This window comes from Homo sapiens, chromosome 7 (genome assembly GCF_000001405.40).
Source record: "Homo sapiens chromosome 7, GRCh38.p14 Primary Assembly".
NCBI lineage: Eukaryota > Metazoa > Chordata > Mammalia > Primates > Hominidae > Homo > Homo sapiens.
This window is the reverse complement of record NC_000007.14, coordinates 157,524,200-157,551,794: the sequence shown is the minus strand read 5'-3', so window position 1 is coordinate 157,551,794 and position 27,595 is coordinate 157,524,200. Positions and strand designations below refer to the sequence as shown.

The 27,595-nt window shown below is 49.7% G+C and overlaps 1 protein-coding gene across 8 annotated transcripts in view; it reads left to right on the top strand.

The window, feature by feature from the left end:
• Window positions 1–12,739, top strand: part of PTPRN2 (protein tyrosine phosphatase receptor type N2) — a 1,048,768-nt gene extending 1,036,029 nt beyond the window's left edge. For all 8 annotated transcript variants that reach the window (XM_047420678.1, NM_130842.4, XM_047420679.1 and 5 more), the window contains 2 exons: window positions 2,776–2,849; window positions 11,010–12,739. In XM_047420678.1, the coding sequence (XP_047276634.1) occupies window positions 2,776–2,849; window positions 11,010–11,081 (146 nt within the window). In that variant the 3' untranslated portion in view covers window positions 11,082–12,739. The remainder of the gene's footprint in view (window positions 1–2,775; window positions 2,850–11,009) is intronic.

Here is a 27,595-nt window from a genome sequence, read left to right as displayed (position 1 = left end):
TGGGGTGCGTGCTGGCTGTGGGGTGCATGGTGGCTGTGGGTTGTGTGGTGGCTGTGGGTTGTGTGGTGGCTGTGGGGTGTGTGGTGGCTGTGGGGTGTGTGGTGGCTGTGGGGTGTGTGGTGCCCGTGGGGTGTGTGATGGCTGTGGGGTGTGTGGGGTGCGTGGTGGCTGTGGGATGCGTGGTGGCTGTGGGTTGTGTGGTGGCTGTGGGGTGTGTGATGGCTGTGGGGTGCGTGGGGTGTGTGGTGGCTGTGGGGTGTGTGGGGTGTGTGATAGTGGGGTGTGTGGGGTGCATGCTGGCTGTGGGCTGCACAGTGTCTGTGGGGTACATGGTGGCCAGCGGCCTTCCTTTGGGTGAGCCCCAGCTGGGGTCTGTGTTTAGCTTGAGCCTCTATACCAACTTGAGATGCTTGAAAGATGCTGTGAATTGCAGCTTATTTATCCTTCTGCCTACAGTTGTGGTATTTTTCACATTTAAATTGCAGCACAGTTCTGGGTTCAATGTGTCCAGAAGCCACAGCTCCTACCAAAGGTACAGTCACGGGTGCAACAGACAATATGGGCATTTCTGAGTTGTTTTGGCTCAAGCACGAATGTTTGTGCAGTGACACTGAGACTAACCTGGCGCTCTCCATGCAGGGACTTGACTTTCATAAGACAAGCTTGTCTCAGAGAGGCCAGTTCCCCTGCGTCGTTTCTGCCATGATTCTGCTGTGTAGGCACCAACTGCAGGAGTGTCCGTGGGAGGAGGAGGAGGAGAGGAAGCGGCTTCCTTGGCCGCCACAGTCATGGCCGCAGGAGGGGTCCTTTGGCTTCCTCCCTTCCTCTCTACCATTTCACAAACTCACCCGTTTGTGTCAGGCTGTTTTAAATTTATGGATTTCTTTTAAAACAAGATTGTATTTACTGTAGCCTTGTCGACTTTTTAGGCCTTTGGAGACCCAAAAGGAGCAATTAAGCAAACCCGTGCACCTGACCCCGCCTTCCACCCGCGTGAGCTGCCAGCTAGTTCCCTGGTGGCCGAGCTCACGGGCTGCCGCAAAAGAAAGCCGCCTTTTATGCCTGCAGAGGCTCTGGCTTAAAAGGTGGTGGCCCTCATGGTGTTCCCTGCCCAGGAGAATGGGGTCCTTTAACCAGGGGATGGGAGCTGGAGGGACGGCCAGCTTAGCCCCGACAGTGGCTCCCATCACCACGAGCCCTGTTCCTGCCAGGAAATGCCAGTGTCTCCATCTTCTGTGCTCAAAGGTGGGGAGACCCACCAGCCAGGCAGGGCAGGTGGGGTGGTCATCTCGCGCCCGGCCTCCCTGGTGGAGCCGCTGTGGGGCTGTCCTGACAGCCAGATTCTCCACACCACCTGCTTTGTTCTCCCTTCATGCAAACATGACATTTGGTTCCAACGTGTGTCCTCCCCAGGCCTCCCCGCCACCCCTGCCGTTCCCTCCTAGCTGCCCGCAGTTCTGACTTGGAGGTGCTTCGCAGGCACCTGCTGTGACTTGGAGGTGCTTCGCAGGCACCTGCTACCCTGCTGGGATGATCCTCCTGGAGCCTGAGCCCCCACTGGCTTCACAGTTGCCACCCCATGAAGCCACAGAACCACAGGGAAAGGAAATTGAGGAACCTCGGGAATTTTAAAGCTTCTCTCCTGATTCGCTGGGCGAGGAATGTGGTGTGCACTCAGGTTGCGGCCGGAGAGAAAGGCCTGGGGACCACCTGACTCTGGGCCACCCGGGCCTCCTCAGGTCTTCGGCCAGCGCTGTCCTGCCCACGGTAGTTGGGGTTCCAATGGCTGCGGCTTCTTCCTGTCTGTGGCTTGGACATGCCATTGGCCGCGTCTCTATTTCCTCATCTGCGACTCGGGTGACCACAGTTCTCAGTTCACCGTGTTCGGTAGAGGTGACATGAAGTGCCTGGCACCCATGTGGGTTTCCCTGTGGGATTCTGACCCGCTTCGGAGCTGCCTCCTGCTCCTCATCCCACACTTCTCTGTGTTTCTCATCCTGGCGGCTGTGTCCTGTCTGCCCCTCTCAACTGCAACACGCTGGAGAGGTCGGGACCCTGTCTTGCTCATTATCTGTCTACTAAAGAACCTAGCAAAATGGAAAAATAACAATATGTGCTGAATTAATTATTAGCTTAAAATTTAAAACTTAAGTAGCATGATTTGAGTGCAGCCAGCATCACCTGCCGTGAGATCGGTGCTGTCTACAGGAGGATGGAGCTTTTGGTGAACCACTGAGCTGGGAGTAGCTACGGGCACCTTTACCCAGTCCCAAAATGTGGAACATTTGAGTTTAAAAAGCAGAAAACTCTACAGTTAAAAGCCAATATTAAGGTTGAGTCCATTAATCTAAATTAATCTGATTTTTTATTTCTTTAAATAAAAAAGTAATCCTATGCAATCAAAGTTAAAGTTCGTATATGGCTCCCTATGAGGTACTACATTCCCTGAAGTGTCACAAAAAAAAAAAAAAAGAAAAGAAAGAAAAGAAAACCAGTACAGCTTTGGTTTCTGACGGTGACGGCCTGCTGTTGGTAAGCATCTTATAACAATTTTTCAGCCCAGCTTTCTGGAATTAATGCTAATGAAAGCTGCCCCTGCCTTCGTCTTCTACATGAACACTGAAATTGCAGCCGCCTGCCAGCCGGCTGAGGGATGAGCGTAATAATTTTCAATTGGCCTCTCAGCCCAGAGGGAACGTGGCTAGCAGGAGATTGACAGATGTGGCATGGATTATCTTGTGCTCTGAACTCAGCCCAATTTGTGGTTTGTTGCAGGTGCTAAAGAGATTGATATCGCAGCGACCCTGGAGCACTTGAGGGACCAGAGACCCGGCATGGTCCAGACGAAGGTACTGTCAGTCTCTCCTCCGGGACGCAGACCCATTCAAGGTGCCTCTCTGCGGCCGTGTTCCTGAGAGGAGCACGGGGAGGGCCTGGTTTAATGTGAGCCGCACACCGATTGCTCTGCTCTGACCGGCCTCGTCCATGCCGGCCTTGCATGGGCGGGGTCACTTCTGGGCCCCCAAAGGTCCACTGGCGTTTCCTGCAACACCTCCAGATGCAGCCACATCTCAAGTCCTAGGAACTCGATCCACTGGCTCTTTCCATTCACTAGATTTGGGGGTGGGGGGAGAACGCTGCATTTTTGTAGAAAGAGGTTGACGATAAATCCCAGAACCCTCAGGAGGATGTTCTGAGCTCTCTGAGCGCTGCCCGGCCTCTCCGGGGCCTGCGCTTTGTGGAGGCCCCCAGGGCACAGCATCCTTGAGCACCCAAAATCCCTCATGCTTGCTGAAGAGGCCCAGTTTGCAGCAACAGAGGTCAAAACAAAAAAAATTCTGGTGAGCTTTGGCTCAACAAGAACTGGACGTGAGGTTGACGTGTGTCTGGTCTCTCTGGCCCTGAGGCTGGGGTTGGTGTGCCTTTGGCCTCTCTGCTCCTTGGTTTCATTTCGCCCTCTCTGTGCAACTGGTAGGACCATCACGTGATTTTGTGAAAGTTCTTTGTAAGTCTTGGGACACTATATTTTATTCGGTTTTTGTTGTTGTTGTTGTTTGTTTGTTGTTGTTGTTGCTTTCTGAGACAGAGTCTCACTCTGTCACCCAGGCTGGAGTGCAGTGGCACGATCTCAGCTCACTGCAACCTCCACCTCCCAGGTTAAAGCGATTCTCCTGCCTCAGCCTCCCAAGCAAAAAATATAAATAAAATGCAGAAATAATCCACCAACCCTCCACCAAGTTTCCCCAAATGTGAACACCTCACATAACCACAGCGCAGTGACCAAACCCAGGAAGTCAGCACCGATGCAAACCACTGACCAACAGGCCCAGCGATGCCCTACGCGCCCCCCCAGGGAGCTTCCCCTGGAGCAGGACACGCCCAGGGCGGCCACGCGAGGGGCATCATGGTTCCTCTGCTGTCCGGGACGCTTCACGGCTGTGAGGTCTTCTAGAGCGCCAGCGGCCTTGCTCTTTGTGGAACGTCTCTTGTCTAGGCGTGTCCCACGTCCCCCATGGTCAGGGCAGGGGGCAGGACTGTCCCTCACGAGGGAGCGGCACATCTACACCCACTGAGGCGTGTGTGTCTGGAGGCTTCTGCGTGGCTGCGTGATGATTTTTCCCTGTGTGGTTACTCAGTGTCCCGCGGGGAGAAGCTGGGACTGTGCACATGTCTGTCTTTCCTTCTGCTTGTTCACAACAGCATTCGGCATGTGTTGCGAGGCTGTCGAGAGAGGAGGTGACACGGGACAGCTGCTGTTCCAGCAGCAACAGCCATCAAAACAAAAAAGTTCTCATGAGCTTTGGCTCAACAGGAACTGGACGTGAGGTTGACGTGTGTCTGGCCTCTCTGTACCAAGGAGTTCCAGGTTTTGTGCCATGGAAGGGTCCAACCTTGGAAGGGTCCATCTTGCCGCACTGACCATCCTCCTGTACTGGCTGCCTAGCAGTAAAAGAGGTGGCCTTGTCAAGGCTGGCACATACCACCTTCTGGCTGGCCCTGCATCCCGTGAGCTTCAGGTGGCTCTGAACTGGACAGAGGAGGCCATGGAGGCTGGGAGAACGGGGCACACATTACCAGGAATGGTCAGCGAGAGCCACCTCAGGCAGGTGTGTTCGTGACTCCACAGTGAGGCCCACTCTGGGATAAGCCCCAGGAAATCTAAATTCAAAGTAGTTTCCTCCCCACACCTCTGCCTGCCTCTCAGGCAGCCTCTCCCTCCAGACGGGTGAGTTCACCCAGAACACCTGCCTGTCAGGCAGCCTCTTCCCTCCAGACAGGTGAGTTTGCCCAGAACACACACTGGCTTTAGGATGGGTCTGGGCAAAATCATCGCAAGGGGATATCTTTGCCAAAAGTGAAAAAAATCACAAGGAGCAAACCCTCCAAGCCTCCCATTGTATGTATCCTGTTCGCCAGAACAAGCCCTTCCTGGCACACAGATGGCTGAGGTGCACAACGGTGGTCCCAGGACCCTTCGTGAAGTGAGGTGCTTTGGGACTCATCAGAGAAAGAGGAAGCCACAGTCACAATCATTACATGCCAGGTCTTCCGTTCTACTCCATTTTTAAATGGCAAGATGGCAGCAAAGACATGGAACCAACGCAAATGCCCATCAATGATAGACTGGATAAAGAAAATGTGGCACATATACACCATGGAAGACTATGCAGCCATAAAAAGGAATGAGATCATGTCCTTTACAGCGACATGGATGGGGCTGGAAGCCATCATCCTCAGCAAACAAACACAGGAACAGAAAACCAAACACTGCCTGTTCCCACTTATAAATGACAGCTGAACAATGAGAACACATGGACACTGGGAGGGGAATAGCACACACTGGGGCCTGTCAGTGGGGAAGGGGGATGGGGAGCATCAGGATGATAGCTAATGCATGCGGAGCTTAATTCCTCGGTGATGGATTCATGGGTGCGGCAAACCACCATGGCATACGTTTACCTATGTAACAAAGCTGCCCGTCCTGCACATGTATCCCAGAACTTAAATATAAATAAATAAATAAATAGCAAGATGATAACACATACACACCCCAGCCCTGTTGCCCAGATCACTTGGTGACCCGAAGCTCCGTTTTCTGCACTCCAGATAACAGAGTCAGCTTCCTAGCTGCTTCCTTCTTGGACTGGGCGTCCGGAGGAGTTCACCCTCTTCCTCAGGGTGTGTGTTCAGGAGCTGTCTTGGAGCATGCACATAAATTCAGCTCCTGGAACTTCAAGGCATAAGGAAATGGAACCATGCGAAAGTCACCATCACATCTTAATCCGTGACTGCGCTGCCCAACATCGCCCCGAGACTAAACTTCCCCTACAAGTTCAGTTTCACAAAGATAGAAAAATTATTTGGGCAAAATGCTGCTGTCCAATCTGAATGCTTGCTTCTACGAAGCCAAGAGGAGGCGCCTGCAGCTCCTTTGAACGGAGGAAGTCACGTCGCCTGGTTTGGAACTGAAGACAAGGAAAGAGCGAGCCGTCGAGGGTGAGCACCCGGAGACCATGACCAGGATGACCGCAGGCCCTGACAGCAAAACATCATCGTTGTGGTAAAAAAGATGCCCCTCAGGAGAGCTGTTTCCTCCCTGGAATTTGGGTCGAATAGAAAATGTTTCACCAGCGCCCACCTGAGCATTTGGCAACTCAGTCCCCGACCACAAACTCCATCATCTTAGAAGAGAAGTCCAGGCACCCAGGGGCTGAACGGCAGTGCGGGCTTTGACACCACACGAGCCGCCAGAGAGGCGGCACACTCAGCCACACACACTGTGTACACCCACACACCTGCACACTGCGCACACCCACACGCAGCCAGGGACACTGCACACCCACACACCTGCACACACCCATGCATACATCCACACACACCTACACACCCACTCACGCAGTGCACACCCACACTCAGCCACACACTGCGCATCCCCATGCACACACCCAGGCACACCCCCCACACACACCTACACACCCACGCATGTGGTACACACCCACATACAGCCGTGCACACTGCTCACACGCACACACCTGCACACAGTGCACACCTACACACAGCCACGGACACTGCGCACACCCACACATTGCACACACACCCACAGACACCCACAAACACCACTCAGCCACACACTGCACACACCCACACACCTGCACACACCCATGCATACACCCCACACACACCTACACACCCACCCACGGGGTGCACACCCACACACACACCCATGCACACTGCACACACCCACACACCTCCACAGGTGTACACACAGTGCACACCCACACACAGTCATGGACCCTGCACACCCACACACCTGCACAGCTGTGCACACCCCCACACACATCCACACACCCACCTGTACACACCCATGCACACCTGCACTGCTGCACACACCCACACACACCTACACACCCACACACGATGCACATCCACACACAGCTGCATGCACGCACACACACCCGCACACATTCCCGTGTGCACACACCCTCAGCAGACACAAGGGATGCCAGACAAGGCTGAAATCACCCCTCTCTCCCGTCCATGCCTCTGTGGTAGATGATGGGTTCTTCCCTTCCTTCCCTCCACACGTCTCAAGAGTTTCCCATTTCACCAAGGACCTTAACACTTTCCTGCCCACAATGGTGTTTCCTCTTTTACATCTGTCAGTTCCAGAAGTAGAGCCAGTGATGAGTGTGTCCCACACCCAAGAAGCCCCATGCCCTCCTCACTGGACGGGAGGCCCCGCCCCCTCCTCACTGGACGGGAGGCCCCTCGCATGTCCACGTGCTGCCCGTGCGTCACTCTCCCCAACCTGCCGTCTCACATCTGCATTTTAGTTTCTTCCCCATTTTCTTCTGCACCAGCCCCTTGTCCTAAAGCCTGACCTCAGCCTCCTCCTCAGACGTACCCGGTGTTGTCCTCCGTCCCAGAAGCAGGGCGTTGCCCAGACATGCTCCTATCTTCCCAACCCAGCACAGCACCGGAGTGACAGACACGGATTCTGTCACGCGTAGCGCAGTCCACGCTCACACATCAGCTCCAGGCCCGCAGCCCACTTCTCCCAAGGCCTCCCGTGCCATTGAAACTGTTCATTTCCGTAGCTCTCCATCTCTCTCCACCTCTCTCCGTCTCTCTCCACCTCTCTCCGTCTCTCTCCGCCTCTCTCCGCCTCTCTCCATCTCTCTCCACCTCTCTCCGCCTCTCTTCACCTCTCTCCGTCTCTCTCCACCTCTCTCCGTCTCTCTCCACCTCTCTCCGTCTCTCTCCACCTCTCTCTGTCTCTCTCCACCGCTCTCCATCTCTCTCCACCTCTCTCTGTCTCTCTCCATCTGTCTCCCATCTCTCTCCATCTCCGTCTCTGTCCCTCCGCCCTGGTGTACACACACACAATGCCTAGTCCCTAACTTGGGCAGGGCTCAACTCTCACGGTGTGGCTTGGAGCTTGTCTACTTTTGTGAAAAGAGAAGCTGAAGGTGACAGACACAGGAAGGTGTGTCATCCTCACCCCCTTTTGAGAGGTGCTGGGGGAAGCTGCCCCGCAGTTATGTGTGCAGCCTCCTGGAGGGCACAGGTGGCTCAGAGACACGATCACTGAGGTCCTCTTTAAGGTTCCTATTTGTACATCTCCACCCAGGCCTTTGTTTACACCTGAAGGATTACAAATATAAACATAAGCACAAATAGAAATCCAAGCAGCCTCCACAAAGCTCCACGGCTTCCAGCCCTGGCTGACCCTTACCCCAGCAGCGGGTGTCCGAGAGCCATGGCAGCTCCTGCAGCCTCCATCCCTCCACCAACTATGTGGGCACCCCGTGGTTGTCCCAGGACAGCCTGAGAAGGGGCGTTCCCACTCGCTGTCCAGCGTGGACCCAGGGGTGGTGACCAGACAGCCTGACCTGGCCTGAGCCTGGCTCGGCCGTCCCACCTCAGCCACTTCTCCACCGGGTGCAGTTCTACTGGAAGAAGCCGTGGGATCTTTCTCCAACAGGCCTCAAATTTTATTGTAGTATGTGTTCAAAAATGCTTTCTTGCTTAGAATGTCCTGACTCGGCCTCTCGAATGTCCTGTCTTTGCAAACCCAGGAGGCTTTGCACCCCTCCTGTTCAGACTGCTGGCACTCAGATGCAGTTTAGGCTAAGATGGTCATCTGGTCATCTGTTGCTGTTGTATTTTACTCCTTTGAAATAAACTCCTATCATAAAAGTTATCCAAATGCTGGGGTTTTCCCAGCCTACCCGGGATCTAGAGCATGGTTCTAGGTGATACTTGCTCAGCGGATTCTGCTCAGAACGTGGCCACAGACCTTCGAGGACCCACAGGGCTTGGGTGCTACATCCCGGCGCCGCATGCAGCTGACACTTCACGATAAAGGACAAGATGATCCACAAGCCCCTGTCCCCTCAAACGCCAGCTCTGAGGCTCACAGCACCCCTCCGGGAAGCACCCCCTCCTCCTGCCAGCCGACGCCCACAGGGCCCAGTGGGCTCTGAGTAAGGTGCACGGCACACACCAGCCCACACGCCCGGTGGAGCTTCTCCTTTGAGCTAAACAGTGCGGTAACAATTGCCAAACATGGCCAGTGAGTAGAGCACCTGTCTCTGTGGCCCGGTTCCCTTCCTGCTGCTCTGTCCGGTGACTGTGCAGTGTTGGAAACAGTTATGATCCAGACCCTGGTGGAGTTCCCCCTGCCCGTCCCCTCCCCCATAGCATGGATATTGGGCTTTCCTGTTGGATGCCGCAAGTGGCTGCCTGAGAGGCCGCTGGGCAGCTCTGCAGGATTAGCACTGGCCCTGGGGGTGGAGCGCTTTCCAGCCTCCACTGCATGATGGGGCTGCGGGGCGGCAGCGCTTCTCTATTCTTCCCTTTAAAGATCATTTCTCAGGCTAGATTTCCAGTGTGTCGGAAGATGTAAATAGATAGATGACACTTGCATTTCGCTTCCCAAAAAGCCACGCTTAATTTTTGGCATCTCCAAGCCCTCACAGAGCCTCAGGGCACTGGCAGCCCAGCACTGGGGAAGAAATGGTCTGAATGGCTGTTGTGTATTTAGCCTGGATCCCCTAAACAGCACCTTCATCGAACACACTTGGTGTGGGAGGGGCAGGAGTCAGCATTTAGACAGAACGTTTGCGGACCTTCCCGGCACAGCCCGACCTGAGCCCCTGCCCCCACAGGGGCAGCTCCCACGTAATTTCGAGGAGCAGAAAGGTGCCCTCTGGCAGTGCAGAGGGGAGAGAGACGGGGCGCAGGCAGACACATCTCCCCGGGTCCCACCCTGAGGTGGCCGCCAGGCTCAGTTGACTCCTTTAATAATAGGTTCTAACACGTACACTAAGAGGCCGCGTGGCCACACTACCAAAGGCAGGTAGAGTCCAGCAGACCATTCCGTCAGCATCAGGGCAGAAGAATATGAAAGGAGAAACTGTCTTTTGTCTCAGAATGAGCATCACGTTATTTTGACTTTCTGATGTCTCGGTTCAAGCTATTTTCCATCTTTCTGTTATGCACTAAACATTCAAAACTGGAAATTAATCATCGTTTTTGGCTTGGGGCTGCCCTGTTCCTTAAATGATCAAGTATTGGAGCTGTCAACAGGGCTTTCCTTCCAGAAGTTGTTAGCTGGGTAACAGTGTTGTTTCCGTCCACGCGTTCTCAGCTGTAGCTGGAGTGCTGCTGGCCTGCTTTGGAGTTTTCCATAGCAGTGTTTTGAGGTGGAAACTGAAGAGCAAGAGGAAATGAGCATTTATCCACCTCATCTGTGGGAGAGGAGGCAGATACGCTCTCCGGCGCTAAGCCCTGGTCTTTGGAGGAGCGAATAGTCCTGGCATCGTGAACCCGTCCCTCGTGCCCACTGGATGCTCTCGGCAGGCTGTCCGTGGAGGGAGGGGTGCCCCTCAGGTGTGCCTGCCCAAGTGGCTGTGGACGCGCATGCCCTGAGCCAGGAGGGGTGTGGACAAGGGGAGGTTTCTCAGCATGTGGAACGGAGTGGGTTTGGTCTGAGTAACAGGTGGATTTCAAAAGCGATGATAACACCACACTTCCGAGGACAGGAAACGCCCAAGCATGGCCCTCATTGTGAGTTTTAATGGCCACGTCTTTGTAGTGTCTGCACCTGCCCCTCACACCGTCCACCAAGGCGGGTGGCTGTGAGGAGGAATCGTGGAGTCGTAGGGTCAGAAGGACAGGGCAGTACGCAGGAACCGTTGCCTTCTCGCTGCTTCTGTGGGCAGCTTCTCCCCGCAGGGGGAAAGATGAGGCTTTTCTAGTGCGAGAGAAGCTCAAACATGTGTCACTGTTGTGTCTCCCAAACCGAAGGGTACACTGTCCTTTCTAAGGAAATCTGAGCCTTTTGCTTTTTTTTGCTAAACAATTTCTTTCTGCGAAATGGCCCGGGGAGCTGATGCTGCGTTGGGAAGGGGGGACGCCGCTTTCATCTGCAGGGAGCCGACGCTGTGGCAGGAGTCGGGGGGACGCCGCTCTCATTGGCACTTCTCTCGTTTCTCGCCCTGCAGGAGCAGTTTGAGTTCGCGCTGACAGCCGTGGCTGAGGAGGTGAACGCCATCCTCAAGGCCCTTCCCCAGTGAGCGGCAGCCTCAGGGGCCTCAGGGGAGCCCCCACCCCACGGATGTTGTCAGGAATCATGATCTGACTTTAATTGTGTGTCTTCTATTATAACTGCATAGTAATAGGGCCCTTAGCTCTCCCGTAGTCAGCGCAGTTTAGCAGTTAAAAGTGTATTTTTGTTTAATCAAACAATAATAAAGAGAGATTTGTGGAAAAATCCAGTTACGGGTGGAGGGGAATCGGTTCATCAATTTTCACTTGCTTAAAAAAAATACTTTTTCTTAAAGCACCCGTTCACCTTCTTGGTTGAAGTTGTGTTAACAATGCAGTAGCCAGCACGTTCGAGGCGGTTTCCAGGAAGAGTGTGCTTGTCATCTGCCACTTTCGGGAGGGTGGATCCACTGTGCAGGAGTGGCCGGGGAAGCTGGCAGCACTCAGTGAGGCCGCCCGGCACACAAGGCACGTTTGGCATTTCTCTTTGAGAGAGTTTATCATTGGGAGAAGCCGCAGGGACAGAACTGAACGTCCTGCAGCTTCGGGGCAAGTGAGACAATCACAGCTCCTCGCTGCGTCTCCATCAACACTGCGCCGGGTACCATGGACGGCCCCGTCAGCCACACCTGTCAGCCCAAGCAGAGTGATTCAGGGGCTCCCCGGGGGCAGACACCTGTGCACCCCATGAGTAGTGCCCACTTGAGGCTGGCACTCCCCTGACCTCACCTTTGCAAAGTTACAGATGCACCCCAACATTGAGATGTGTTTTTAATGTTAAAATATTGATTTCTACGTTATGAAAACAGATGCCCCCGTGAATGCTTACCTGTGAGATAACCACAACCAGGAAGAACAAATCTGGGCATTGAGCAAGCTATGAGGGTCCCCGGGAGCACACGAACCCTGCCAGGCCCCCGCTGGCTCCTCCAGGCACGTCCCGGACCTGTGGGGCCCCAGAGAGGGGACATTTCCCTCCTGGGAGAGAAGGAGATCAGGGCAACTCGGAGAGGGCTGCGAGCATTTCCCTCCCGGGAGAGGAGATCAGGGCGACCTGCACGCACTGCGTAGAGCCTGGAAGGGAAGTGAGAAACCAGCCGACCGGCCCTGCCCCTCTTCCCGGGATCACTTAATGAACCACGTGTTTTGACATCATGTAAACCTAAGCACGTAGAGATGATTCGGATTTGACAAAATAACATTTGAGTATCCGATTCGCCATCACCCCCTACCCCAGAAATAGGACAATTCACTTCATTGACCAAGATGATCACATGGAAGGCGGCACAGAGGCAGCTGTGTGGGCTGCAGATTTCCTGTGTGGGGTTCAGCGTAGAAAACGCACCTCCATCCCGCCCTTCCCACAGCATTCCTCCATCTTAGATAGATGGTACTCTCCAAAGGCCCTACCAGAGGGAACACGGCCTACTGAGCGGACAGAATGATGCCAAAATATTGCTTATGTCTCTACATGGTATTGTAATGAATATCTGCTTTAATATAGCTATCATTTCTTTTCCAAAATTACTTCTCTCTATCTGGAATTTAATTAATCGAAATGAATTTATCTGAATATAGGAAGCATATGCCTACTTGTAATTTCTAACTCCTTATGTTTGAAGAGAAACCTCCGGTGTGAGATATACAAATATATTTAATTGTGTCATATTAAACTTCTGATTTCACATTCAGGTGGTCTTTATTTGGGGAGGAGGAACAATTGTTTCCATCCGTCTTTTTGTTTCCTAAGCCACTGGACTGTAGATGCTGAAACAAAGCGTGGGCGTTTCCTAGAACTCCAGGTCATGTTGCTACTTTATCTGCAGCATTAGATGTGTACTAAGGGCCAGGGTGTCGCTGAGGTTTCATCTTTAAAACAGGATTAAACAGTCTCAGTAAGGAGCCGCAGATCGCATCCATGCCACACACGCCCTCCGTGCCCCTCCGTGCACTGGCACCACCTGGATAGGGCACCCTGGGGTGGGAGATGCCCCCTTCCTCCCCATTCTCAGTCCTAGATGCTAACAACGGGCCCTGACCCAGTGAGGCTCATAATGTCTCTCACCTAGCACTCCGATTCCATCTAGGGACTGTCCTTCTGTCCTTGGTGGGAAGGGAGACCTCGTCCCCACCAGCCACACAATCACACCCCTCCACCTGGCAGGAAAATGCAGCGGGAATATTCAAACTGTAAGCAAAGAGGCAGGCACTCCGGGGCGTGGTGCAGCGACCAACCTTCCGTCCTGCCCTCGGCTATCTCCACTGGCAACAGTGAGAGACCGAGGACAGCAGAGTGGGCTCGTCCCAAAATCAGGTAACTCCTAAGCAGTGCCCTCCAGCTAGAGGAGCTTGGTGTTTAAGAAACAAATATTGAATGATATTTGTTAATGCACAGGAAGGAAAACTTGATTCAGGACCAGCACAATTGGTACAGGGAGAGTGCCGGGGGATTTTGCAGTGGGGGAGAGAGACTGGGCTCGTCTCCGTCCATTTCACATTGCTCTGAAGGAACACCTGAGGCTGGGCAATTTATAAGGAAACGAGGTTTTTGGCTCATAGCTCTGCAGGCTGTATAAGAAGCATGACGCCAGTGTCTGCATCTGGGGAGGCCCCGTGTGTGTGCAGAGCTCAGATGGAGAGAGAGGAAGCAGGAGATGGCATGGAGGGAGGGCCAGGCTCTTTTTAACAACCAGCTTTCATGGGAACTGCCAGAGTAAGAACTTGTCCCCCACCCCAGAGCATTAATCTATTCATGAGGTATCCACCCCCATGACCCAAAAACCTCCCATTACGCCCTACCTCCAGATTTCAACATGAGGTTTGCAGAGTCCAATACTCAAACCCTAGCAGGGCTCAGCTCCAAACACCACATGGGCAGCGGGGCTTCCCAGCCAAGGAGTGGGCTGGGATGAGTGGATGGAGAGTTACCAAAAGGAAGCCTCAGGGTCAGGGGATTCTGGCTAAACCCACCTAACAGGGTTCTTGCTGAAGGCAAGCCAGGGTGACCGCCATCACCTGGGGATGGTGGAGGATGAGGGACCCAATCCGATATCGAGGGTGAAAAAATATCAAGGTGATCAGATATCAAGAATTGGGGGGGATGGCTCTTGCTAAACTGACTTTGCAGGATTCTTTGCTGAAAATGTCATTTTACAAGGACATGCACAGACCGGCCTAGAAGAAGGTTCCAAAGCCCGACTAAAGGTTGGTCAAGCAGAGAATCTTTACACCTTTGTTCTCTTCTTTCCTTTGAAAAATATAAGTTCCCGTTCTTGTTTTGTTGCCTTTTGTTCAGTGAGGACTGGCAGAGTCACCAGCTGGGGCTTGGTGGTGGAGGAGTTCAGCTGGGTGGTATGAGGCATCAGGGCTTTAGTGAGGGGAATTTAGTTTCTACAAAAAGAAAAAGAAAAATAGTTGGGACAAACTATGAACTCCGATTCTGAGCCCAGAGGGCAGGCAGTCCAGAAGCTTTCTAGATGCTGGGCTGGTGCATCTCCGGCTGGAGGGGAGCGGGCCGTCCTAAACCACAGGCTCCCTGGTTGGCAGTTTGGATGCCATGAAAGTTGTCCCTATGAGTGCTGAGGTTTATATCAAGTCGTCCAGCTCCAGCTTGCAAGGCTTCAGGAAAAAGGCAACAATTCCCAATTTGAAGAATGGAAGAAAATGGGAAATAATAGTTTGGAAAGTCGTAGTCAGATGTTGGAGGGAACAAGAAGAATTCTGGATCCATTTCAGATTGCAGGTAGGTAGTAAAACCTCAAAGAGGCCAGAATCTAACAGTAGATGTACTATAGTTTTCTCCTGAAACATAATTTTTCTCTCTCAAATCGCCTTCATTTCTAACCAAAATAATCAAAGTTAGACTGATTTGTTTGCAAAATAAGTTTAGTGTCATAAACTTGTCTTGATTATTTGTATCACCGCAGCAAGAATAGTGATTGACAGGCTTTTTAAAGTTTGCTTTGCTGGAACTTTTGACAAAGAGTCTCAGATTGGACCGGTAAAGACTCTTGAGGCTGTGAAAACACACCAAGGCCTTGCTTCAGGCTGTATGTGTAGCACCTATAGATTTGGGCGAATTCTCTCTTCTCAAGGTTCCCAAAATATCCTGTTTCCTGGGCCTGCCAAGAAGTGACATCCCTAACCACCTGTAAAACTGGAAACAGGGAAGCTTTTCCAGTGGGGGCTTTACTGGCCCCATAAAGTCAACCTCAGTTTCTTAAAGTTGTCTAGTCATATCTGAAAATATGACATAGCAGTCAAAGCCTTGGTAATATAACCAGCATTTCTAGTGATGTCTTAGTACAAGGACAACAGATTCTTACTGAACTTATGCAAATAACTATATTGCCACAAAAATAAGAATACTCACAGTTTCTGAATTCTAGATGGATCAGGTAAGTAGAAAAAGTAATTGTTTCAGTTTTTATTCACAAAAGTTTACTGAACTTCTGTAAACTATAGATAGGGTTAAAAAATCTTAATTAAAATAAAACATTTAAATCAATTAATACAAAAAATTTAAAGAACCACCAATATTTCCAGCAAAAAATCATTCTAAAATATCCTCATCGGTGTAGTTAGTCCCATGTAATTAATTCTGTCCTGCTTGATCTTAGTTAGCAATTTTATGAACTCATTGGTTTCTTCATTAGAGTTCTGGAAATTCTTACCCAGCCCAGTGGCATCTTAAATTTATCAGAAGCCAGTATTTCAGAGTGCTTGTCAGAGTATTTTCCATGATTTTTTGAAGAAGAAGTAATCTTGGACTGTAACTAATGGCAAATGCTTTTAGAGAAGAATTAAAATAAAAGAATAGCTGTCTATGAATGACAGAGACTTAAAACAATCATGGTTAAAAATCTGATGAGAGTTTATTTTAAAAATGATGTGATTGGCAAGGAAATTTGGTTATTTGTGTAGTACACAACATCTTAGTATAACCAAAATTTTGACTGATAACACATTAGATTTCTAGAAATCTCATACAATTTTTGGAACACTCATATCAGTAACATACCCATAAATATAACTCACAGAAGATTTATTTGGAAATGCTTCCTATATAATTTAACATATAAAATAAGAATAATTGTTTAATATTACTCTATTACAAGGTGAGAGACACATTTTTTGACCTTCCAGGGGCCCAAGTGGAAAGTCCCAAAGTTAATTTGAAGTCACAAAGACTTAATTTAGAATTTGATTTTGGGAAGTTTGTACAAAATGTCAAAAAGTTTAAGACACTTTATTAAATATGATATTGATTAATCAAAGCGATAAAATAAAGGCAAATGCAGAAGGTTACATAGTTGTAGACAAGAACTTAGTTCTTTTAATACTTAGAAGATCTGCTTTTCTTAAGTAATCAAAGACCTAATAAAAGACAACATGAAACACAAGAAATTATCTTGATAAAACACAAAATATTTGCTTCCTAGGTCAATTACTTAAAAGACAAGGAAACTCCTTCATATTCTCAGATCAATACTCCAAGAAAAATTTGTCATTTTAACAGATAAGACCAAATTCTACTTTTGCGTCAATGTACAACTAAAACTAATTTTTCATAAAACCTTATAAGTGAAGTTATCCATTTTTAGTCAGTTTTGACCACACAAGATAAGATTTTCACAACACTTTTACAGCCTCTTTTTTTCCTTTCACAACTGACATGCGTCAAGCAATTAAGCAATTCATTTTTAGTATGCATTCCACTGTACGGTGGGAGTTATAATTTTATGGCCTGAAACATCTAACAGAGACAACACAAACCTGTCCGGCAAAAACAGACAAAATTGTATGTCTGTATTATATTTAATGCTGACAATTTTGAAGATATTTCTGTTTTTATTTTTATCAGTAATTGTAAAACTAGTTTATTTTTAAAGAATTACTCAAGTCACATGAGCTAAAGGGCAATTAAGTTGGTTTCTATTTTCTGAGATAATACTTTATATAGTGCTTATTTTAAGCTAATCAAATAGAGCTCTTTTGTGTATGTTGGCAGCATCACCCAGAGATAGAAAAATATTCCATACCCATAACATATATATATAGATCCACACTTAAATGTACAGATGGATGCAAGCAGATCTTTTAATTTTTCAAAATTTTAGTCATGAGGCAGTAAAACAGACTAATACATACAAACTCATTGGTTTATCTCCACTTAATATTTTTATACAAATTGTGTTTCTGATGAAAATGGAACAAGCTGAGGATACCTACTTAATAAGGGATACAGCTATTTACCAATATTTGTCGAGAAGGCCTTTAAGATTTTTCACTTGCCCAGTTCCAAAGAGTTTCTTTTTCCTCTTTTCTGCCTCAAGTGGAATTTTCAAGACACTCTTGAGTCCCTTGAGCCTCCAGTGGATCCCTTTAGACCCCAGTAGGAGTCTAGAGTTCAAGTGGGTGAGGGGCTGGAGTAGGGAGGGAGAGGAAAGGGCCTGGCAGGGGTGGACAGAGTTAGCAGAGCTCAGAGTCAGCTGGGGTGCGGGAAGAGGGATTCCAGGTGACAGAGAAGTCCCCATGGGAGAAGCAGGAGCTGGTAGAAAACAGACAACAGAGAAAAGAGGGGGGCCTCACAGAGAGCCAGGAGGAAGGTACTTCCAGCCCAGGGAATGAGAGACAAATCCCCACTCAGGAACGAGAGCCAGGAGGAAGGTACTTCCAGCCCCACAGTTACCTTCCCAAGGAAGCCTGAGATTCACCTAGCCTCAGAGAGATATTCATACCTGAAGAATCTAAATCTGTGCTGACTACCTTCAACAGACATTTGGTTCAAGAGTCTGACTCACCAGTGGACCCCACTCAGTCAGGAGTGAAGACAAAGTTTCAAAGGCGTACACTTAGGGTCCTGGATAAGGGCCCAGGGGTCCCATGGTCAATCTGATTCTGTCAGATCACAACACCATGATTGTTAAAGAAAAAATTATTCAATGATACCTGTTAAAAGCACAATAAGGAAGACTTTATTCAGAGCCAACACGATAGGTGTAGGGGCCATGACAATGGGGCCTTGCAGTAGGGAAGAGAGGCTGGCTCAGCTCCAAACACAGCACAGGAGGTTGGGGATCCATAACCAAAAAGCAGGGTAAAGGTGAGTGGATGCAGTGTTACTAAGAGGAAATGTCAGGGTCAGGAGATTCTGGCTAAACCCACCTAACAGAGTTCTTGCTGCAGGCGGGCCAGGGTGACCGACATCACCTGGGAGGTGGTAAAGGATGAGGGACCCGATCAGATATCAAGGGTGACCAGATATCAAGGATGGGTGGAGGCACAGTTCTTGCTAAACTGACTTAACATGGTTATTTGCTGAAATTGGATTTTACAAAGAAGGGCACAGATGGGACTAGGAGGAGGTTGAAGAGCTTAACTAAATTTGGGCCAGCAGAGCAATCAGGCAAGATAAATAAAAGGCAAAAAATCAGTAGCATTTCTATACACTAACAGCACCCAAGCCATGAGCCAAATCAAGAATGCAATCCCATTCACAATTGCCACAAAAAGAATAAAATATCTAGGAATACAGCTAACCAGAGAGGTAAAAGATCTCTACAATGAGAATTACAAAACACTGCTTGAAGAAATCAGAGATGACACAAACAAATGGAAAATCATTCCATGCTCATGGATAGAAGAATCGATATCGTTAAAATGGCCATACTGCCCAAGGCAAGTTACAGATACAGATTCAGTGCTATTGCTATCAAACTACCAATGACATTCTTCACAGAAGTAGAAAAAACTATTCTAAAGTTCACATTGAACCAAAAAAGACCCCGAACAGCCAAGGCAATTCTAACCAAAAAGAACAAAACTGGAGGAATCACATTGCCAGATGTCAAACTATACTACAAGGCTACAGTAACCAAAACAGCATGGTACTGGTGCAAAAACAGACACATAGACCCAATGGAACAGAATAGAGAACCCAGAAATAAAGCCACACACCAACAGCCATCTCATCTTTGACAAAGCTGACAAAAACAAGCAACAGAAAATGGACTCCCTAATCAATCAATGGTGCTGGGATAGCAGGCTGGCCACATGCAGAAGATTGAAACTTGACCTCTTCTTTATACCACATACAAAAATTAACTCGAGATGGATTAAAGACCTAAATGTAAAACCTAAAATTATAAAAACCCTGGAAGATAACCTAGGAAATACCATTTTGAACATAGAAACTGGCAAAGATTTCATGACAAAAATGCTAAAAGCAATTGCAACAAAGGCAAAAACTGACAAATGGGACCTAATTAAACTAAAGAGCTTCTGCACAGCAAAAGAAACCATCAACAGAGTAAACAGACAACCTACGGAAGGGGAGAAAATATTTACAAAATATACATCTGACAAAGGTCTAATATCCAGAATCTACAAGGCTCTTAAACAAACATACAAGCAAAAAATAACTCCATTAAAAAGTGGGCAAAAGGCATGAACAGACACTTTTCAAAAGGAGACATACATGTGGCCCACAGGCATATGAAAAAATATTCAATATCACTAATCGGAGAAATGTAAATCAAGACCACAATAAGACACCATCTCACACCAGTCAGAATGGTTATTATTAAAAACTCAAAAAACAACAGATGCTGGCGAGGCTGTAGAGAAAAGGCAACACTTACACATTGCTGGTAGGAGTGTAAATTAGGTTCAACCATTGTAGAAAGCAATGTGGAGATTCCTCAAAGACCTAAAAACAGAACTACCATTTGACCCAGCAATCCCACTACTGGTAAATACCCAAAAGAATAAAAATTGTTCAACCATAAAGACACATGCACACATATGTTCATTACAGAACTATTCACAGCAGCAGAGACCTAAATGCCCATTGACCGTAGACTGAATGAAGAAAATGTGTACATATACACCATGGAATACGGTGCGGCCATACAAAAGAATGAAGTCATGTCCTTTGCAGGAATATGGATAGAACTGGAGGCCATTATCTTTAGCAAACTAATACAGGAACAAAAAACCAAATACCACATGTTCTCACTTATAAGTGGGAGCTAAATAATGAGAACACGTGGACAGAAAGAGCGGCGCATCAGACACTGGGGCCTACTTGAGGGTGCAGGGTGGGAGGAGAGGCCCAGGGCAAAACAAAAAACAAAAAAAAACTGTAGGGTACTATGCTTAGTACCCAGGGGACGAAATCATCTGTATACCAAACCCCCGAGTCAAGAGTTTACCTATATAACAAACCAGTACATATACCTCTGATCCTAAAATAAAAGTTAAAAGATTCTTTAAAATATAAATAAAGTCGGGCCAAGCGAAGGGTCTTTGTCAGTGTCCACCAACATGCTGGTGTTCCTTTCTTAAGAAGCCCAATTCTCAGTCTCAGTGGATTGACTCTCAGCTTCGCTCCTGTGGGTGCAGTTTCTCAGGCTTTCCTTCTTGAGTGTGAGCCATGTCGGAACCCTGCCTACACCTCCGGGAAGCTTCTGCTTTCCCTGTGTCGTGAGAGGTTGCTGAGACCCGGCCACCGAACATCTTATGTGAGGATGTGTGACAATATGGAAGCTTCTCATGATGAATGCATTTCAGAATTTAGGTCCGAGGACAATAGGGCAGGCTGAAATGCCGTGTAAATATTCCACTCCTGATACGATTATTTAGAAATGCTGGACAGAATGTACTAAAGTAACTTTTAAAATGTGTAGCCAAGCTCTAAAGAAAGAGAACTCCTCAAGGTCTTATTCCAAAGAGGGAGCTGGAGGTCAGTGTGGGAAGGGTGGTCAGGACTGAGCCCTACAAGGGCAGGTGACCGGGTGCTAAACATGTCCACTTGGCATCTGCATAAATGGCTTCGGGGAATGTTTAACAACCAGCTCCCCCAAACAGCAGACTCACAGAGATTGTGCGATTTACAGATAGACGATATGTAGCACACAGCTTACAAATAACAGCACACACGGTGCTCTATTTTCAATTTCCTATAGCCCACGGGTTCTCACAGAATGCTCGCTCCGATTTTCATGGAGCTCTTGCATCTGTATCCAACGTATGATTGCAATCGGGGAACGAGTGTTGTTCCGACGTGGTGTTGGTTAACATCACTTACCTGAACAGGCAAGAAGAGAAAACAGAATACGTCAGAACTTATTCCACGTCACTCATGAATGGCCTGAGCACTTTTTTTGCCAAATGGGATGATAGTTGCCAAATCCTGAGGGAAGATGGTCTCTATTTCCTCATTGCTGTTCACAATGGAAGGGCTACAGACACCATAGGCTTAAGTTTAATCAGCATTAGGAATGTCTTCTTCATCACTTATTAAAGTCTAGACAATCAGCAAAGCAAAAGCAACGCCCCCGTCTGTCGTGGTTGCCGACTTCTGTGGTGTCAACGCGCCCACTGTGAATGATTTCGGCGCGATGGGACAGGCAGCCGGCAGCCTGCCGTTAGCACTTCCACCGCACAGGCTCAAGAGCTGGAAATAACCAGAGGATATACAACCACTAGGGATGATGACAAGTGTAAACAAAAAACATCATGTTTATTATCTGTGTTTTAATATAATTTGTCGGTTAATATAATTAAATTTTTAATAATGGCTGTATTTGACAAGCTGCCTACAAGACTCCTACAAACTTAACAACCTGCCCTGCAAGTCGGTCCGAGCCGGCTGCCACACACTCTGTCTCAGGACCCTGTGACAAAGGGCAGAGTTTGGAGGACAGCCCCGTCCCACCGTACAGGAAAAAATAAGTCCTACATACCACAGGAGGGTGTGGCGTCTAGCTTACCCTCCCCACGTGGCCCAGGAAAGCCAAGACGAAATATCAAGGTTGAAACTGATCCAAGCCCCGTGAAACCCTTGGGTCCCCAAGATAAGTAAAGGCAAAACCGCTCAGTGCCCTTCTGCAACCCCCAGAAAAGACGCCCCCTGAAGATGAGCTCCTAATAAACAATCACAAAGCCCACGGGGATGGACTCTGTCAGGGACAGTCGTCCAGTGTGAAAAAGGTGATAAAACCGGTTTTACCATTTTAAATGGTATATAAAAAGAATAGCTGCATTTAAAAAGAGAACAACTAGACTTGAACCAAACAAAACTTCTAGAAATGAAACCGAAAAGGAACAATTATTTTAAAGTTAGAGGATATGTGTTCACATGATACAAGCTGACCATAAAAACTCAATGTCTGTGTAAAATGGAAGATTGGCTAGGTCTGGAAACTCAGTGAAATGGAAGACAGATCTGAGAAACCCACTCATAAAACAAAAATATGCAAGAGAGGTTGGGGACATACAGAGGGCAGGAGTGGGCACCAAAAGAGGAGGGCCGTCGGTGACGAGGCCCTTTAGGAGTCCCTCTCACAGCCCAAGTGGGCTCTGTGGGCCTCCTGTGCCCCTCTCCACAGTGGGTCCTAGCCAGGGACAGCTCTTATTTCAGCATCAGTCCGCATGTCCAGCTCCAGTTCCAAGTGGGCGGAGGAGACTTGTCGGCAATTTCTATTACCCAGACCAGGCTTCCTTCCTGACTGCTGCATGTGGCCTGGGACGTGCACCCTGTCCCCGGTCGAGAGGGCATTGAGACAGTGTCGAGACCCCAGCCACGAGGGGGGCTTTCTTCCACCAACACGGCTCTACACTTGGATTTCTAGCATGGCCTTGACTGGGAGGCCACAGACGCAGAGGTGCCTCGAGGGGCTTCAGGATGAGAAAACGCAGACACCCAGGAGGCAATGGGCTAACCAAGGAGTGGGGAGGGCACAACCTTGTCACCCCACTTTACAGTGTGCAGGCCCTGTGCTGCAAACCTTGGCCATGCAGCTTGTGTGGACGTATCACAGGCAGGGCAGGCTGGCGCCCTGAGTTCACAGCGGGACACTCCGCAAGGTGCCAAGATGATGGTCTCCTCCCTCCCACGTGTCAGCGGGGCCTGGGGCTCGTGTTAGGGGCTCTTAACCATTCACTGTTTCAACATAATGGGGCTGCTCAGCAAGTGATTCAGTGATGATTTTTACAAAGTTGTTGCTTAAGACTGATTTTTTTTAATTTGGTGAGACGTGATCTTACAAAAAGAAAACGAAAGATCTGTGTATTGTAATTCTGTGCATAAGAAATGCACCAGGCCAGACACAGCGGCTCACACTTTGGGAGGCTGAGGAGGGAGGATCACTTGAGCCCAGGAGTTCAAAATCATCTTGGGCAACATGGTGAAACCCTGTCTCTACAAAAAAATAGAATAATAATAATACAAAAGTTAGCCAGGCATGGTGGCGCACACCTGTAGTCCCAGCTACTGGGTGGCAGGTGGTGCTGAGATGGGAAGATTGTTTGAGCCTGGGAGGGAGTTTGAGGTGGCAGGTGGTGCTGAGATGGGAAGATTGCTTGAGCCTGGGAGGGAGTTTGAGGCTGCAGTGAGCTGAGATGGTGCCACTGCCCTCCAGGCTGGGGAGCAAGGCCCTGTCTCAAAACAAAAACACAAAAAAAGAAATGCACCAACTTAATAATGAGACCATAAATCTGTTTTTCTCAGGGTCTTGGAATGGGGTTTATTGGAATTCCCTGGAAATGCACAGACATGCACAGAGGCCCACACGCCTTGTGGGTAGATGAAGTCTCATTAAAGATTCCCACCTCTCGTGGGTGTTCTGAGCCCTCATGTGTGAGGTTCCGGGGCCTAACCCTGAATCTGGCCCCTTTGGGGCCATACTCGCCTCTCCTGTCACTCTTCCAGCCCCACTGCCCGCACCACCAGCTGCAGACTACCTTGGGAAGGAATCACTTCCCGACACCGCACACCTGCTCTCGGGTGGAATCGGTGCGAGTACGGAATTTTCCATCCTCCTCTGAAAGCCCACGGTCACACTCCCGACCTGGGAGCCCCCGCAGCCCTGCCGGTGGGTGAGTGGGCTGTCCGAAGCCTGTCTGCCTCCGTGGCCGGGGTCCTGCACACATTGCTTCGGGGCAGCTGGGTGTGGTGGCCCCGAGCACCGTGCTGCTGGGTGGCTGGAAAGCATCTAAAGTGAATGCGGCAGGTCAGAGCATTGGTCCTCAGACTCTGCAGAGACCAGCATGTCCACCATTGCGTAGGTGTGGGGTCTTTCCTGCTGAGACCTCGGACTGAAATGGATGCTGTGAATATATGTTACTGGGCTGTGTAAACTAATAGGGCAGCTCCCGGAAGTTTTATTCTTTTTCTACAAAATTAACTGAATACTTTTTAAAAGCAGACCTGCACGCCCACTGCCTCTCTCCACTCCGCTCCCCACTGTCTCCGTCTCTGCTGGGTTCCTCCCCCTCTGGCTGCTCCCCTCACGCACGAAGCCAGCCCAGGGCACCCCCTGGGGAAGCACCAGCCACGTTAGACGGAGCCTGTGTCTTGTGCGTTAGTAATCAGGGAGAGCACGAAGAAAAAACCCTCATAATGAGCGGAATAGACATTAATTCAAAGACTTTATTGGAATAGAAAATGAGGATCTGATTATACCTTTGTTCCTAAACAATGGCTGGGTTTCATTTTGTAAAGGCATTTGTTTAGAAACTGGTCTTAGCCATTTATGTCGCTCCATTTATTAGGCACACGTGATGGTTTAGGGATTTGCTTTTTTAAATTGAGTGCAGTTGGTAAATATCACGGTGGGTTTTCTGGCCATCAGGTCATTTCTCTGTGGTCACCTCCAAGGCCAGTGCTCAGGGGAGCCGGGAGCGTTTGGCCTGCACCACACAGCTCAGCCCTGGGGGCGTCTGTCCTGCAGCCCAAGATGTGCGCCCTTCAGTCTGGAGGGGACGTGCTCCGCACGTGAGGGGCCAGGCGAGGTGGAGAAGCTCCCGTGCTCTCTGTGGCTCTCCTGCTGCCGCCTCTCTGGGTACAGAAAGCCTGCTGCTGTGCGCACCCCACTAGCGGCCGAGTGGTCTGCAAGAGGCAACGCTGGCTGGTGGCCTGGTCGGCACAGAAGTGTGAAGCGGTCTTGGGAGGCCTGCAGCAGCCAGAGGTGCCCGGGATGTGGCCATCGTCAACCCCACCACGCAGCTCCTGAGGGCTCGCAGGGACTCTGAAGGAAGGCTGGGAATGGCACGGGAGTGACGTCAGGCCTCAGCATCAAAGGAGACAGGAGGAAACGCTGGCCTCATCAGCTCCGAGTCTGATTCCACTTCCACGGCCCAGCTCGCCCTCTCTCTCTTCTCGCTCTCCTTTTTTTAATTGGCACACAATAATTGCACCTGTTTCTGGAATACAGGGTGGTGTTTCGACGCCCGTGTATGATGTGGGATAGTCAGATCAGGGCGGTTCACGTGCCTGTCACCTCAAACCTTTGTCAGTTCTTTGTGCTGGGAACATTCCAAAGCCTCTCTTCCAGCTCTCTGAAAACATACAATAAATTGTTGTCAACCACAGTTGCGTGGAGTGCCAGGAACACTAGAGCTTATTCTCCCGTCTGGCTCTAACTCTTACCCCCTCCCCAGACTCTGGCAACCAGCAGTCCATCACCACCGCCTTGAGTTCGGCTTTTTTAGCTCCCACAGATGTGTGAGATCCTGGGGTGTTTGTCTTCCTGCACCTGGCTGATTTCCCCAATTCCTCCAGGCTCATCCATGCGGCTGAAATGACAGGATTCCTTTCTTCTCTGGCTGAACAGTATCCACTGTGCCTACGCACCACATTTTTCTTATCCGTTCGTCTGTTGATGGGCACTGAGGTTGATTCCAAATCTCGGCCATTGTAAGTAGTGCTGCAATGAATAGGGATGTGCAGATACATCTTCGATATACGGATTTCCTTTCTTTGGGGCGTATGCCCAGCAGTGGGACTGCTGGATCCCAAGGTGGCTCTATTTTTAGTGTTTTCAGGAAACTCCAGGGGCTCTCCATAGCAGGCATCCTCACTCACATTCCCTCCGACAGTGCACATGGCCCTCTTTTCCCTCCCACAGTGCGCACTGCCCACTTTTCCTTCCGACACTGCACACGGCCCTCTTTTCCCTGCGACACTGCACACGGCCCTCTTTTCCCTGCGACACTGCACACGGCCCTCTTTTCCCTCCGACAGTACACACGGCCCTCTTTTCCCTGCGACAGTGCACACGGCCCTCTTTTCCCTCAGACGGTGCACACGGCCCTCTTTTCCCTGCCACAGTGCACACGGCCTTCTTTTCCCTCCGAGAGTGCACACGGCCCTCTTTTCCCTGCGACAGTGCACACGGCCCTCTTTTCTCTCCGACAGTGCACACGGCCCTCTTTTCCCTCCGAGAGTGCACACGGCTCTCTTTTCTCCACCTCCCCGCCTCTGTGATCTTCTGCCTTTCTGATAAAAACCATTCTAGCAGATGTGGGGTGGTATCTCATTATGGTTTTAAATTAGCATTTTCCTGAGTGATGTTGGGTCTTTTCTCATATACTTTCTGGCCACTGGTAGGTCTTCTTCTGAGAAACATCTACTCTGATCGTTTGCCCATTTTTCTTATTTTTTATTTTTTTAGTCCATGACCTGCTGAAATTTGCCCATTTTTAAATCAGATTATTTTTGTTGCTGTTGAGCTGGGTGAGTTCCTTGTAGATTCTGGGTATTAGTCCCTTGTTGGATGAAGAGTTTGCAAATATTTTTTTATTCCTTTTGCTTCTCTTTCAAGGGAGAGTGTGTTACACACACAGTCTCTGCCTCCCTCTCTGTGTCCATCTGTCTCTTCTCTCTGTCTCTCTCTGCCTCCTCTCTGTCTCTTCTTCTCTCTCTGTCTCTCTCTGCCTCCCTCTCTGTCTGTCTCTTCTCTCTCTGTCTCTCTCTGCCTCCCTCTGTCTCTGTCTCTTCTGTCTCCCTCTGCCTCCTTCTCTGTCTCCGTCTATCATCTCTCTCTCTCTCTCTCTGCCTCCCTCTCTTTCTTCTCTCTCTCTCTCTGCCTCCCTCTGTCTCTGTCTTTTTTTCTCTCTCTGCCTCTCTCTGCCTCCTTCTCTGTCTCTGTCTTCTCCTAGCAGCCCTGAGCCTCTCTCTTTCTTCTCTGGGGTATCTACTTTGAAGGAAGCCATTGATACATAACTATTGTGGTCTCGATTTTCTATTTAAAAAAAAAAGTAATCCCACTGCTTTGCAGTCATCCTTCTGTTTTTTAGGATTAGACGTTCCCTGTGAAAAGGTGGCTGTGAACGAAGGGAAGTCAGAGGAAATCATAGACTCTGCAGCCTTGGGCCACGCATCAGAGGCCAGGAGCCCCACAGGGACATTGGGGCTCCCAGTGGCTGGCAGCTGGGCTGCTGAGGGCTCACAGCCAGGCCCCTCTCCATGAACTGCCCTCAGCCACATGCCCCCTGCCCCATGCCAATGCCCTTCCCAGGGACATGGCCCACCCCATGACTGGTCTAAGAGGGCCACGAGGCCCTCCCACTGGCCCCTTTTGGGACCACCCGGTGGGGCCCTCCAGTCCCAGAGCTGCCTCGGGGTTCCACGGAGGCCTTGCTTGCAACTGTGTGGCATCTGGACACACAACATCTGGACTTCGCCACCCCGGCATCGTGCTCCCTCACTCACCCCCTGCCCCGAACCCCCACGATTGTCACAGCCAGATGGCAGGAG